Genomic DNA, 13,229 nt, shown 5'->3' on the forward strand with positions numbered 1-13,229 from the left:
AATTCCTTGCCTCCACTGTGAGACAAACCCCAGCCACATCTCCAGCACACAAGAACTTCCAAACACCTGAACCACAGTGGCCAGGCGTTCCTCCAGAACCTCCTCCCACAGGAGCTTGCTACACGTGCCGGAAATCTGGCCACTGGGCCAAGGAATGCCCGCTGCCCAGGATTCCTCCTAAGCTGCGTCCCATCTGTGTGGGACCCCACTGAAAATCGGACTGTTCGACTCACCTGGCAGCCACTCCCAGAGCCCCTGGAACTCTGGCCCAAGGCTCTCTGACTGACTCCTTCCCAGATCTTCTCAGCTTAGCGGCTGAAGACTGACACTGCCCGAACGCCTCGGAAGCCCCCTAGACCATCACGGATGCTGAGCTTCCGGTAACTTTCACAGTGGAAGGTAAACCCATCCCCTTCTTAATCAATACAGAGGCTACCCACTCCACATTACCTTCTTTTCAAGGGCCTGTTTCCCTTGCCTCCATAACTGTTGCGGGTATTGATGGCCAGGCTTCTAAACCTCTTAAAACTCCCCAACTCTGGTGCCAACTTAGACAATACTCTTTTAAGTACTCCTTTTTAGTTATCCCCACCTGCCCAGTTCCCTTATTAGGCTGAGACACTTTAACTAAATTATCTGCTTCCCTGCCTATTCCTGGACTACAACTATATCTCATTGCTGCCCTTCTTCCCAATCCAAAGCCTCCTTTGCATCCTCCTCTTGTATCCCCCCACCTTAACTCACAAATATAAGATACCTCTACTCCCTCCTTGGTGACCGATCATGTACCCCTTACCATCTCATTAAAACCTAATCACCCTTACCCCACTCAATGACAATATCCCATCCCGCAGCAGGCTTTAAAAAGATTAAAGCCTGTTATCACTCGCCTGCTACAGCATGGCCTTTTAAAGCCTATAAACTCTTCTTACAATTCCCCCATTTTACCTGTCCTAAAACCAGATAAGACTTACAATTTAGTTCAGGATCTGCGCCTTATCAACCAAATTGTTTTGCCTATCCACCCCGTGGTGCCAAACCCATATACTCTCCTATCCTCAATACCTGCCTCTACAACCCATTATTCTGTTCTAGATCTCAAACATGCTTTCTTTACTATTCCTTTGCACCCTTAATCCCAGCCTCTCTTCGCTTTCACTTGGACTGACCCTGACACCCATCAAGCTCAGCAAATTACCTAGGCTGTACTGCCGCAAAGCTTCACAGACAGCCCCCATTACTTCAATCAAGCCCAAATTTCTTCCTCATCTGTTACCTATCTCGGCATTTCTCATAAAAACCCACATGCTCTCCCTGCCAATCGTGTCCAACTGATCTCTCAAACCCAAGCACCTTCTACAAAACAACAACTACTTTCCTTCCTAGGTATGGTTAGCATGGTCAGAATTCTTACACAAGAGCCAGGACCACAACTTGTAGCCTTTCTGTCCAAACAACTTGACCTTACTGTTTTAGCCTAGCCCTCATGTCTGCGTGCAGCAGCTGCTGCTGCTTTAATACTTTTAGAGGCCCTCAAAATCACAAACTGTGCTCAACTCTCTCTCTACAGTTCTCATAACTTCCAAAATCTATTTTCTTCCTCATACCTGATGTATATACTTTCTGCTTCCCGGCTCCTTCAGCTTTACTCACTCTTTGTTGCATCTCCCACAATTACCATTGTTCCTGGCCCAGACTTCAATCCAGCCTCCCACATTATTCCTGGTACCACACCTGACCCCCATGACTGTATCTCTCTGATCCACCTGACATTCACATTTCCCCAAACTTCCTTCTTTCCTGTTCCTCACCCTGATCACACTTGATTTATTGATGGCGGTTACACCAGGCCTAATCGCCACACACCAGCAAAGGCAGGTGATGCTATAGTACAAGCCACTAGCTTGCCTCTTAGAACCTCTCATTTCCTTCCCATTGTGGAAATCTATCCTCAAGGAAATAACTTCTCAGTGTTCCATCTGCTATTCTACTACTCCTCAGGGATTATTCAGGCCCCCTCCCTTCCCTACACATCAAGCTCGAGGATTTGCCCCACCCAGGACTGGCAAATTAGCTTTACTCAACATGACCTGAGTCAGGTAACTAAAACACCTCTTAGTCTAGGTAGACACTTTCACTGGATAGGTACAGGCCTTTCCTACAGGGTCTGAGAAGGCCACCACAGTCATTTCTTCCATTCTGTTAGATATAATTCCTCAGTTTAGCCTTCCCGCCTCTATACAGTCTGATAACAGATGAGCCTTTATTAGTCAAATCAGCCAAGCAGTTTTTCAGGCTCTTAGTATTCAGTGAAACCTTTATATCCCTTATGGTCCTCCATCTTCAAGAAAAGTAGAATGGACTAAAGGTCTTTTAAAAACACACCTCACCAAGCTCAGCCACCAACTTAAAAAGGACTGGACAATACTTTTACCACTTTCCCTTCTCAGAATTCAGGCCTGTCCTCAGAATGCTACAGGGTACAGCCCATTTAAGCTCCTGTATAGACGCTCCTTTTTATTAGGCCCCAGTCTCATTCCAGACACCAGACCAACTTAGACTGTGCCCCCGAAAAACTTGTCATCCCTACTATCTTCTGTCTAGTCATACTCCTATTCACCTTTCTCAACTACTCATACATGCCCTGCTCTTGTTTACACTGCCAGTTTACACTGTTTTTCCAAGCCATCACAGCTGATATCTCCTGGTGCTATCCCCAAACTGCCACTCTTAACTCTTGAAGTAAATAAATAATCTTTGCTGGCAGGACTATGCTGAATCTCCTTAGGCATTCTCTAATCAGATATCCTGAGTCATCCCAATTCTTAGACCTTTTATACCTGTTTTTCTCCTTCTGTTATTCCATTTAGTTTCTCAATTCATCCAAAACCATATCCAGGCCATCACCAATCATTCTATACGACAAATGTTTCTTCTAACAACCCCACAATATCACCCCTTACCACAAGACCTCCCTTCAGCTTAATCTCTCCCACTCTAGGTTCCCACGCCGCCCCAATCCCGCTTGAAGCAGCCCTGAGAAACATCGCCCATTCTCTCTCCATATCACCCCCCAAAAATTTTCACCGCCCCAACACTTCAACACCATTTTGTTTTATTTTTCTTATTAATATAAGAAGGCAGGAATGTCAGGCCTCTGAGCCCAAGCCAAGCCATCGCATCCCCTGTGACTTGCATGTATATGCCCAGATGGCCTGAAGTAACTGAAAAATCACAAAAGAAGTGAATATGCCCTGCCCCACCTTAACTGATGACATTCCACCACAAAAGAAGTGTAAATGGCCTGTCCTTGCTTTAAGTGATGACATTACCTTGTGAAAGTCATTTTCCTGGCTCATCCTGGCTCAAAAAGCACCCCCACTGAGCACCTTGCGACCCCCACTCTTGCCCGCCAGAGAACAAACCCCCTTTGACTGGAATTTTCCTTTATCTACCCAAATCCTATAAAACGGCCCCACCCTTATCTCCCTTCACTGACTCTCTTTTCAGACTCAGCCCACCTGCACCCAGGTGAAATAAACAGCCATGTTGCTCACACAAAGCCTGTTTGGTGGTCTCTTCACACGGATGTGCATGAAAGCCTCCAGTGGTATACTGAGTTGGTCAGGACCCCCATTTTCTCTGCGTCCAACATCCCCAGTTCTCCTCTTTGGTGATTGAGTGGTTCAGGGAAACTGGCCTTTGTAAGAACTGAGAATCTAAATTAATGCAATTTAAACCTTTGACTGTGTATGTGAGAGGAGAGAAAGACCCTCTCACATTGTTTTATATTGTTTTATATTCAGTAAAAACAACAAGGAAGTAAAACCAAAGACAGGCAGCCTGGCGCCAGGCCTGAAACCAGGCCTGGGCCCACCTGGCCTAAACCCAGTAGTTAAAAATCAACTTATGATTTAGAAGCTGATGTTATTCATAGATTCCTTACATTGTATAGAAGAACACGGTGAAACTCCCTGCCCTGTTCTGTTCCTCCCTGACCACCGGTGCATGCAGCCCCTGTCATGTACCCCTTGCTTGCTCACATCAATCACGACCCTTTCATGTGAAATCTTTAGTGTTGTGAGCCCTTAAAAGGGCAGAAATTGTGCACTCAGGGAGCTCAGATTTTGAGACAGTAGCTGGCCGATGCTCCCAGCTGAATAAAGCCCTTCCTTCTACAACTCGGTGTCTGAGAGATTTTGTCTGCGGCTCATCCTGCTACATGTGAAGTGCAGCAGGGGATTCCAGTCAGCAAAGGAGATGCTGAAGGATCTCCCCGAGTGAATGGTGTTTGCTTACTCTTTATAAGTTAATGTATCAGGATAGGGGATAGTTGCTACAAGAGAAATAAGAGCTGGAAAAGAAAAATGCCAATCCAACTGCCAGACTGACCCTGGCCCAATGCCAGGCCTATGTCTTAACTGTTCAGACTCAAAGATATCAGCCTATTGATGAAAAAAGTGGCTGTCCCAATGGCCCCATCAGGGTAAAATTGAAGAACTAGTCAGTCAGGTCTTGGAGCAGGTAAAAACACAGCTCCTATCTCAAGGATGGGAAATTAACCTTAGTAAAATTCAAGGACAAATTGTAAAATTCCTTGGCATCCTGCACAAACTATAAAATTCCTTGGCATCCTATGAAATGCAGGGAAATAGTCCATTTTACCAAAGACTAAGGCTAAAATACTAAAAATTGCAACCCTTACCACTAAAAAGGAGGACTAGAAATTTATTGGCTTGTTTGGATTCGGGAGACATTATATTCACCACTTGGGTAACATTTTACAACCTCTGCATGCAGTCACTAGAAAATGCTGTGACTTTCACTGGGGAGAGAAAGAGAGCATGGCTTTTGAACAAGCTAAACAAGCAGTGCAACTGGCCCTGGACCTATGGCCCATATGAGATGGGCCAGTAGAACTGCAAATAACTGTCCTAAATCAACATGCTAATTGGAGCCTTAGGCAGAAACAAGATGGGAAGAGGGTACACTTTGGGTTTTGAACCCAGAAATTGCCAGAGGCCAGCAAAGCTTATACCCCTTTCAAGAAGCAATTGTTACCTTGCTATTGGGCTTTGCTGGAAATGGAACACCTCTGCTTCAACCGTGATGTCTTTATAAGGTCTGAAATTCCTATTATGACTTGAGTCATGAGTTCCCCCAAAACTCACCAAATAGGGCATGCCCAAGAAAGTAACATCATAAAATGGAAATACAACATAGAAGACCAGGCTAAGCCAAAACCAAAGGGGGTATCATTTTTACATGAGGATGTACAAAACTTGCCAGCTCAGGAAACCACTGAGGAAGTGCTGCACATAGGGAAGGAAACCGCCCCTCCCCCCACTCAATGGTGCAGTTCCTTTAAAGAACTAAGCCCAGAGGATCAGAAACATGCTTGGTTTACTGATCGATCCAGCAAACATATTGGTGGGACCCAATGCTGGAAGGGCATGGCTTATAATCCTGTTAAAAACGTAAGCATTTCTGATGAAGGAAGGGGTGGGAGCAGCCAGTTAGCTGAACTAGTAGCCAACCTCCAAGATATTCAGGAGGAAGCCAGAGGGATTTGTCACTTGTATACCAACTCTTGGTCAGTAGCAAATGGTCTTACTACCTGGATGCTCCAATAGTGACAAAACAAATGGTTAATTGGGAATAAAGAGGTTTGGGGAAAAAAATACTGAGAAGATATCTGAATCCTGGTGCACACTACCATTGTTGCTGTTTTCCATGTTGATGCTCATCCATCTCTGCTTTCTCTTGACAGACTATTTAATCACCAGGAAGATCAACAGGCCAAAATTTTTATTATAACTGCAAACTTGAATGCGGATGAATTGATTTCCTGTTCAAGCCTTGCAATGACTGGCATTATAATGTGTGGTGGTATAATTGATAGTGATTAGTGGCCTAAATATTCCACTTAAAAGATACAGAATGGTAGAATGGAGAAGAGTTTACCAACCAAATATCTGCGGTCTTTAAGAGACTCACCCAACACATAAAAACTCACATAAAGTTAAGGTAAAGGGTTGGGAAAAGATAGTCATGCAAATGTACCCCAAAAGCAAGCAGTAGTAGCCATTCTTACATCAGACAAAACAGACATTAAAGCAAAAACAGTTAAAAATAAAAAAAGACAAAGAGGGACATTATATAATGATAAAAGGACTAGTCCAACAGGAAAATATCACAATTCTAAATATATATGCACCTAACACTGGAGCTCCCAGTTTATTAAACAATTACTACTAGACCTAAGAAATGAGATAAATGGCAACACAATAATAATGGGGAACTTCAATACTCTACTGACAGCACTAGACAAGTCATCATGACAGAAAGTCAACAACAACAACAACAACAAAAACAATGGACTTAAACTATACCGTAGAACAAATGGACTTGACAAATATTTACAGAACATTCCACACAACAACTGCAGAATATACATTTCATTCATCAGCATATGAATCATTCCCTAAGACAGACATATGATGGGCCACAAAACAAGTCTCGATAAATTTAAGACAATCAAAATTATATCAACTACTCTGTCAGACTACAGTGGAATAAAAGTGAAAACTCCAAGTGAACCCTCAAAACCATGCAAATCCATGGAAATTAAATAAATACATGGAAATTAAATAAAAATAAAATTTAGGATCAACTTGTTTCTGAATGATTGTTGTATGAAATCAAGATGGAAATTTAAAAATTCTTTGAGCTGAACGATAATAATGACAATCTATTAAAATGTCTGGGATACAGCAAAAGTCGTGCTAAAAGGAAAGTTCATAGCATCAAGTGCCTACTAAAAAGTCTGAAAGCTCATAAGTAGACAATCTAAGATAACACCTCAAGGAACTAGAGAAACAAGAACAAGCCAAACCCAAACCCAGTAGAAAAAAAGAAATAACAAAGATCAGAGCAGAACCCTAGGGGGAGGGGTGGCTGCAGTCTCTGTGGACCAGCAGACTTAGCCTTTCCTCCTGCTAGTTTTGAAGAATTTGAGCAGCCCAGATGAGTGGATTTTCCCCCAGTGAAACACCCCCCTCCACCAAAGGACAGTCAAAGTGCTTCATTAAATGAGTTCTGCTTCCTGTGCCACCCAACTGGATGAGACCCTTCAACAGGGATTGTCAGACACCCTATAGAGGAGCAATTCTACTGGCATCAGGTTTGTGCCTCTTGAGGTCAGAGATCCCAGAGGAAGGAGCGGGCACTCTTCTTTGCTGTTCTCCAACTTCCTTGAGTGACATCTCCAGGCACGGCGGTGAACCAGATGAATAGGTCCTGAAGTTAGCCCCTAGCAAACTGCAGCAGCGCTACAGAAGATGGACCTGACCATTGAAAGAAAAACAAACAGAAAGCAACAATGCATCAACAAGAAAAAAATGTACCCACAAAAACCTCATCCAAAGCCACACATGGTGGCTCACACCTGTAACCCAATACTTTGGGAGGCCGAGGCAGTGGGCAGAGCACTTGAGGTCACGAGTTCGAGACTAGCCTGGCCAACATGGTGAAACCTTGTCTCTACTAAAAAATACAAAAAAAAATAGCCAGGCGTGGTGGTGCATGCCTGTAGTCCCAGCTACTAGGTAGTCTGAGACATGAGAATCACTTGAACCTGGGAGGCAGAATTTGCAGTGAGCTGCGATTGTGCCACTGCACTCCAGCCTGAGTGACAGAGAGAGAGACTGTTAAAAAAAAAAAATCCAAGTGTCAGAAGCCTCAAAGATCGAAACTAGACAAACTCATGAAGATGAGAAAGAATCAACAAAAAACAGCTGAAAGGCCAGAGTGCCTCTTCTCTTCCAAATGATCAAAATGTCTCTTCAGCAAGGTGCAGAACTGGACAGAAGATGAGATGCATGAATTGATAGAAGTAGGCTTCAGAAGATGGTTAATAACAAACTCTGCTGAGCTAAAGAAACATGTTCAAACCCAATTTGAAGAAGCTAAGAACCTCGATAAAAGGTTAGAGGAACTGTTAACTAGAATAACCAGTTTGGAGAGGAACATAAGAGGATGAGATGCATGAATTCACAGAAGTAGGCTTCAGAAGACGGTTAATAACAAACTCTGCTGAGCTAAAGAAACATGTTTGAACCCAATTTGAAGAAGCTAAGAACCTTGATAAAAGGTTAGAGGAACTGCTAACTAGAATAACCAGTTTGGAGAGGAACATAAGAGGATGAGATGCATGAATTCACAGAAGTAGGCCTCAGAAGATGGTTAATAACAAACTCTGCTGAGCTAAAGAAACATGTTCGAACCCAATTTGAAGAAGCTAAGAACCTTGATAAAAGGTTAGAGGAACTGCTAACTAGAATAAACAGTTTGGAGAGGAACATAAATGACCTGATGGAGCTGAAATGTTTGGCATGAGGCCCAGTCACTAGGGCCCTTTGCGACTGGGCTCAAGGAACACAAAAACGTTATCTTGTTTTTCAATAACTAACATATAGGAATAGATTGAAACAGAGATTTCTCTGAAATGACACTACATGAATGCCTCAATGAATGCCTCAAGGGGGTCACACAACCGGTTCTGAGACTTGGTGACCATTGTTTGTGTCTGTGTTCAATTTATTTCAAAATTAATATTTAACTTTTCCTCCACAAATTCCCCTGTCTTGATGAATGGGCTCTGTCTAGGCAAAAGGCCTGTCTTTATGAATCAGCTCTGTCTAGACAAAAGGCAAGGTAAAACCCTTGGGCTGTTACACAACCTCCGCCTCCTGGGTTCAAGCGATTCTCTTGCCTCAGCCTCCGGAGTAGCTGGGACTACAAGTGCACACCAGCACACCCAGATAATTTTTTGTATTTTTAGTAGAAATGGGGTTTCACCATGTTGGCCAGGCTGGTCTTGAACTCCTGACTCAAGTTATCCGCCCACCTTGGCCTCCCAAAGTGCTGGAATTAGAGGCGTGAGCCACTGCGCCTGGTTCTAAATGATTTCTATTTCCTGTAACAATTTGAAATTACTTAAAGGTTGTTTCAAATTGAAAAAAAGAATGTAGATAAAATATAAAAAGTTAAAAAAATTACAAGTGATTATGAAATATATGTGTAAATCTCGAGAGGTCAAAAGTGACAAATCTGATTTATATATAAGGTTTTATTAAAATTAGCTTTAGTATTGATAATACACTATTACCAAAGTAAAAGTTGATTTTCTAACAAAAATTTTATGTATTATTAATATGACAGCAAAATACTTCTGTTCACCTTTTGAATACATGCAAAAAGAGAGAGAGTAAAAAAGAGATAGAATTTTCCCTTGCTCTAGGGTGGGCCTGGCTCAGCTCAGGGAGGAAGCCCTGCCTGAAAAGGCTGCAGCTTAGGCTGTTACTCTTTCATCACTCAGCCCAGCATCTGATCACATCCTCTGTCACTCAGGGACTGAGTGGGCGGGGCCTTAAGCATTATCCAATCAGAGACGCTGGGCTGGAAACCGTCCAATCAGGCAGGCAGCTGGAGCAAAGAGGACGGCTTCCGGGTTTGGCGCGGCCTTTGTCTCTCGCTGCATCTGGAGCTCTAGGTCGCCTCTTCGCTACTCTGTGTCCTCTGCTCCTAGAGGCCCACCCTCTGTGGCCCTGTGTCCTGTAGGTATTGGGAGATCCACAGCCAAGATGCCGGGACCCCTTAGAAGCCTAGAAATGGTGAGAGTGCCCATTGGACATCCTGAGAGAGGGGAGGGACTGGTTGATGGGAAGTGGCTGTGGAGGGACTCAGGCCTCCCCGTAGTCAGCTCCACAATCTGCGTCCGGACTTCTCCTTACCCAGCTCGGCCTCAGTCCCCTTCAGCCATAAGATGGTGGCTGCGCTGACAGCCGGTCCCGGGGCGTCCTGTCTCTTCCCTGCGCAGTGACCGTGCCCTGGCCTGGCGCCCTCTCTGTGCAGCAGCTCTCCACCCGCAGCTTCGGGTCTCTCCCAGATGGTGCGGGAACCACGAGAAGGTCATCAGGGGAGAATCTTGACTCGGGGTGCGGGTTCACGATTCGGAAGAGCTTTGGTCCGTGGGGTTCACAGTTTCTCTTTTCTTTTGTTAAAAATTTATGGGGCCGGGCGCGGTGGTTGACGTCTGTAATCCCAGCATTTTGGGAGGCGAAGGCTGGCGGATCACTTGAGGTAAAGGGTTGCTAGGACAACTAAATTCCTCTTCAAAGACTCAACTTCCTGATCAGAAGTTGTAAAAGTTGTAAAACAACCCTACCCCTTTTTCTCCCTTTTCCTTTTCTCGCAAATCGCTCGTTTATCCTATTTGGAAAAAGTTTGGGTCTAAGCCAACCGGGATCAGCTTAGATTGTGCGGTCTGACCCCAGCCAATAGGGGAAGGACACAAAAACAAAAACTACGTTGGGGTTAAAAACCCATTCCTGGTCGGGCGCGGTGGCTCACGCCTGTAATCCCAGCATTTTGAGAGACCTAGGCGGGAGGATCTTGTGGTCAGGAGTTCTAGACCATCCTGGCCAACACCGTGAACCCCGTCTCTACTAAAAATACAAAAATTAGCCAGGTGTGGTGGCAGGCACCTGTAATCCCAGCTACTTGGGAGGCTGAGGCACGAGAATTGGTTGAACCCAGGAGGCGGAGGTTGCAGTGAGCTGAGACCGCGCCATCGTACTTAAGTGTGCGTGACAGAGCAAGACTCCTTCACACACACAAAAGAAGGGCCAGGCGCAGTGGCTCACGCCTGTAATCCCAGCACTTTGGGAGGCCAAGGCAGGCGGATCACCTGAGTTCGGGAGTTCGAGACCGGCCTGACTAACATGGAGAAACCCTGTCTCTATTAAAAATACAAAATTAGCTGGGCTTGGTGGCGCATGCCTGTAATCCCAGCTACTCGGGAGGCTGAGGCAGGAGAGTTGCTTGAACCCGGGAGGAGGAGGTTGCGGTGAGCCGAGATCGTGCCATTGCACTCCAGCCTGGGCAACAACAGCGAAACTCCGTCTCAAAAAAAAAAAAAAGTAAGAATCTTAAAATTTTCTTCCTTTATGTAAACACTGTTTGAGTAATTTCACTGGATTTTTCAAACACTTAGTTTCAAAAACCAAGTGAATAACACTGACATGGAAATTAAAGCTTGAACCTAGTAATTCCAAGCTAAGGCTAATATGAAGTCTGCAAAAGGAGGGGGTTAAAAAAAATTTTTTTTTTTTGAGACAGTCTTGCTTTGTGGCCCAGGCTGGAGTGCAGTGGCGCGATCTCGGCTCACTGCAACCTCCGCCTCCGGGGTTCAAGCAGTTCTCCTGCCTCAGCCTCCCAAGTAGCTGGGACTACAGGCACTCGCCACCACGCCCGGCTAATTTTTGTATTTTTAGCAGAGACGGGGTTTCACCATATTGGCCAGGCTGGTGTCGAACTCCTGACCTTGTGATCCGCCTACCTCAGCCTCCCGAAGTGGTGGGGTTACTACATTTTTTTTATTTTGACATGGAGTTTAGCTCTTATTACCCAGTCTGGAGTGCAATGGTATGATCTCGGCTCACCGCATCCTCTACCTCCTGGGTTCAAGGGATTTTCCTACCTCAGCCTCTGGAGTTACTGGGATTGCAGGCACGCGCCGTCACGCCCGGCTAATTATGTGTGTTTACTAGGGGTTTCTCCATGTTGGTCAGGCTGGTCTCTAACTCCCAACCTCAGGTGATCCATCCGCCTTGGCCTCCCAAAGTGCTGGGATTACATGCTTGCGCCACCGCGCCCGGCCAACAGGAGGTTATTAAAGGCCTAGTTAGTTTTTTCTGGGGAGCCTCGCCTGCAGATGTCCCAGCCTGCTCACCCCACCCATGGAAGGAGCCTTTATCCTGAGAGAAGCTACGGAGCCCTGGAAAGCTGGAGCCCCACAGGTAGTTAAGATTAAGGTGAAAGGAAACTGGGAGGGTCTTACTGATAATAAAGCTATTGTTTTGAGGCACTTTTTAGACTTTTTAAGATAAAAACGTCAGATTTATGTAAAAAAATGAATTAGTATTGGAACAGGAGAAAGTACCAACTAATTATAAGGTCTCTGTGGCTTGCAAAAATGTAGGCAGAAAAGGGCTTTTTTCCTAGGGAGGAGCAAACGAGATTAGAAAAAAGCGGGGAGGGGAATGACAAATGGAGGGTGAAAAAGTCAGATTTTAGCTCAGAGAATGTCTTACCCTGAAATCACCGTGTTCTTAGAAGGGACATAAGATGGGGTTGTATGTTTTTTTTTTTTTTTTTTTTTTGAGACAGTCTCACTCCGTCGCCCAGGCTGGAGTGCAGTGGCGCGATCTCGGCTCACTGCAAGCTCCGCCTCCCGGGTTCACGCCATTCTCCTGCCTCAGCCTCCCGAGTAGCTGGGACTACAGGCGCCCGCCACCACGCCCGGCTAATTTTTTTGTATTTTTAGTAGAGACGGGTTTCACCGTGTTAGCCAGGATGGTCTCGATCTCCTGACCTCTGACCTTGTGATCCGCCCGCCTCGGCCTCCCGAAGTGCTGGGATTACAGGCGTGAGCCACCGCGCCCGGCCAAAATGGGGTGTATGTTGACTCAGACTGAGGGTAGCTCAAAATTCAGGAGCCTGAGGGAGGGAGATAAATAAAGTTTGATTAAGAAATATTTTATTTTAGGCCAGGCGCGATGGCTCACGCTTGTAATCCTAGCACCTTGGGAGGCTGAGGCAGGCCGAACACCTGAGGTCACAGCCTGGCCAACACGGTGAAAACATGGTGTCTACTAAAAATACAAAAATTAGCCAAGCGTCTTGGCAGGTACATGTAATGCCAGCTACTTGGGAGGCTGAGGCAGGAGAATTGCTTGAACCTGGGAGGTGAAGGTTGCAGTGAGCAGTGAGTCAAGATGGTGCCACTGCACTCCAGCCTGGGCAGCAGAGTGAGACTTCATCACAAGAAAAAAAAAAGAAATTTGACCACTGAAGACATATTCAGCTGATTTTTCTAATGAGAAAAAGGAGAAAATGTGCAGTGTATGTCTGGCTGTGTGACAGGTAAGAAAAGAGAGCACCATCTAAGTCATAATGGGAAGGGTGTTTCTGTCCATCAGCTTTTTCTGGAGTACACAACAAATGGAGAATTTTATTAATCACAAATGTTTTCCATGATTATCTATGTGTTTCATCTTTCCTCATGTCTTTTCTTTGTTGTATGCATTTCTTCCTTTTGGCTTTTCCTGGGCTGCATCTTATATATTAAACCGGTAAACATAACTACAGTGTTTTGTTCAGTTCTG

At 45.1% G+C, this 13,229-nt stretch overlaps 1 protein-coding gene and 2 long non-coding RNA genes across 4 annotated transcripts in view, besides 1 other annotated feature; 2 read left to right on the forward strand and 1 right to left on the reverse strand.

Annotated features, from left to right (window-relative positions):
• The window catches only part of LOC105372310 (uncharacterized), a 148,126-nt gene that overhangs the window by 33,984 nt on the left and 100,913 nt on the right, over positions 1 to 13,229 (reverse strand). Inside the window, exon 6 of one of the 2 annotated variants that reach the window (XR_001754065.2) lies at positions 6,207 to 7,346. The exons of the other annotated variant lie outside the window; for it this stretch is intronic. This is a non-coding gene — a long non-coding RNA (uncharacterized LOC105372310). Of the gene's footprint in view, positions 1 to 6,206; positions 7,347 to 13,229 lie in introns of those variants that run through there. 2 annotated transcript variants of the gene reach the window in all.
• On the forward strand, positions 297 to 3,562 carry LOC124904667 (uncharacterized). Its single transcript, XR_007067171.1, has 2 exons — positions 297 to 399; positions 3,511 to 3,562. It is a non-coding gene; the product is annotated as an uncharacterized LOC124904667 (long non-coding RNA).
• Positions 9,528 to 13,229, forward strand: part of ZNF486 (zinc finger protein 486) — a 33,275-nt gene continuing 29,573 nt past the window's right edge. The window contains exon 1 of the mRNA NM_052852.4: positions 9,528 to 9,674. Within this exon, the coding sequence (NP_443084.2) occupies positions 9,645 to 9,674 (30 nt within the window). The 5' untranslated portion in view covers positions 9,528 to 9,644. The remainder of the gene's footprint in view (positions 9,675 to 13,229) is intronic.
• Positions 10,110 to 11,051: an enhancer, noted in NCBI's record as "H3K27ac-H3K4me1 hESC enhancer chr19:20278605-20279546 (GRCh37/hg19 assembly coordinates)". NCBI's record gives its function as "activates a minimal SCP1, AML or CMV promoter by ChIP-STARR-seq in primed H9 embryonic stem cells {active_cell/tissue: H9 hESC(primed)}" and the evidence as "EXISTENCE:reporter gene assay evidence [ECO:0000049][PMID:30033119]".

The sequence above is a fragment of the Homo sapiens genome, chromosome 19 (assembly GCF_000001405.40).
Source record: "Homo sapiens chromosome 19, GRCh38.p14 Primary Assembly".
Taxonomy (NCBI): Eukaryota; Metazoa; Chordata; class Mammalia; order Primates; family Hominidae; genus Homo; species Homo sapiens.